Genomic DNA, 2058 nt, shown 5'->3' on the forward strand with positions numbered 1-2058 from the left:
GTTGCTGCACTTGGCCCCTCCTACAACCAAGAAAGAGGCACAACGCCTAGTGATCCTATTTGGATTTTGGAGGCAACACATTCCTCATTTGGGTGTTACTTTGGCCCATTTATCGAGTGACCTGAAAAGCTTCCAGTTTTGACTGGGGTCCAGAGCAAGAGAAGGCTCTGCAACAGGTCCAGGCTGCTGTGCAAGCTGCTCTGCCACTTGGGCCATATGACCTAGCAGATCCAACGGTGCTTGAGGTGTCAGTGGGAGATAGGAATGCTGTTTGGAGTCTTTGGCAGGCCCCCCCATAGGTGAATCACAGTGGACACCTCTAGGATTTTGGAGCAAGTCCCTGCCATCTTCTGCAGATAAGTATTCTCCTTTTGAGAGACAGCTCTTGGCCTGTTACTGGGATTTGTTGGAAACTGAACGTTTGATTATGGGTTATCAAGTCACCATGTGATCTGAACTGTCTGTCATGAACTGGGTGCTTTCTAACTCATCTAGCCATAAAGTGGGTCATGAGCAGCAGCATTCTATCATCAAGTGGAAGTGGTATATATGTGACTGGGCTCAAGCACGTCCTGAAGGCACAAGTAAGTTACATGAAGAAGTGGCTCAAATGCCCAAGGTCTTCACTCCTGCCACCCTGCCTTCTCTCCCCCAGCCTGCACAGATGGCCTCATGGGGAGTTCTCTATGATCAGCTGACAGAGAAAGAGAAGACTAGGGCCTGGTTCACAGATGGTTCTGCATGATATGCAGGCACCACCTGAAAGTGGACAGCTGCAGCACTACAGCCCCTTTCTAGGACATCCCTGAATTACAGCAGTGAAGGGAAATCTTCCCAGTGGGCAGAACTTCGAGTGGTGCACCTGGTTGTGCACTTTGCATAGAGGGAGAAATGGCCAGATATGTGATTATATACTGATTCATGGGCTGTAGCCAATAGTTTGGCTGGATGGTCAGGGACTTGGAAAAACCACAATTGGAAAATTGGTGACAAAGAAATCTGGGGGAGAGGTATGTGGATGGACCTGAATCATCAAAAACTGTGAAGATATTTGTATCCCATGTGAGTGCTCACCAGCGGGTGACCTCAGTAGAGGAGAATTTTAATAATCAAGTGGATAGAATGACCCATTCTGTGGACACCACTTAGCCTTTTTCCCCAGCCACTCCTGTCATCACGCAATGGGCCCATGAACAACGTGGCCATGGTGGCAGGGATGGAGATTACGCATGGGCTTAGCAACATGGGCGTCCACTCACCAAGCCTGATCTGGCTACAGCCACTGCCGAGTGCCCAATTTGCCAGCAGCAGAGACCAACACTGAGCCCTCGATGTGGCACCATTCCTTGGGTGATCAGCCAGCTACCTGGTGGCAGGTTGATTATATTGGACCTCTTCCATCATGGAAAGGGCAGAGGTTTGTCCTCACTGGAATAGACACTTACTCTGGATATGGGTTTGCCTATCCTGCACGCAATGCTTCTGCCAAGACTACCATCCATGGACTAACAGAATGCCTTATCCACCGTCATGGTATTCCACACAGTATTGCCTCTGACCAAGGCACTCACTTTACTGCTAAAGAAGTGTGGCAGTTGGCTCATGCTCATGGAATTCACTGATCTTACCATGTTTCCCACCATCCTGAAGCAGCTGGATTGATAGAATGGTGGAATGGCCTTTTGAAGTCACAATTACAATGCCAACTAGGTGACAATACTTTGCAGGGCTGGGGCAAAGTTCTCCAGAAGGCCGTGTATGCCCTGAATCAGCATCCAATGTATAGTACTGCTTCTCCCATAGCCAGGATTCATGGGTCCAGGAATGAAGGGGTGGAAGTGGAAGTGGCACCACTGACCATCACCCCTAGTGATCCACAAGCAACATTTTTGGTTCCTGTTCCCGTAACATTATGTTCTGTTGGCTTAGAGGTCTTAGTTTCAAAGGGAGGAACACTGACACCAGGAGATACAACAACGATTCCACTAAACTGGAAGTTAAGATTGCCACCTGGACACTTTGGGCTCCTCTTACCTTCAAGTCAACAGGCTAATAAGG

General features: G+C 48.8%; 1 annotated feature.

The window, feature by feature from the left end:
- Window positions 507–1706: an enhancer, noted in NCBI's record as "CDK7 strongly-dependent group 2 enhancer chr11:78333374-78334573 (GRCh37/hg19 assembly coordinates)". NCBI's record gives its function as "activates an origin of replication core promoter dependent on BRD2, BRD4, P300/CBP, MED14 and CDK7 cofactors, with strong dependence on CDK7, by STARR-seq in HCT116 cells {active_cell/tissue: HCT116}" and the evidence as "EXISTENCE:reporter gene assay evidence [ECO:0000049][PMID:35650434]".

Source organism: Homo sapiens, chromosome 11, assembly GCF_000001405.40.
Source record: "Homo sapiens chromosome 11, GRCh38.p14 Primary Assembly".
Classification (NCBI taxonomy): Eukaryota; Metazoa; Chordata; class Mammalia; order Primates; family Hominidae; genus Homo; species Homo sapiens.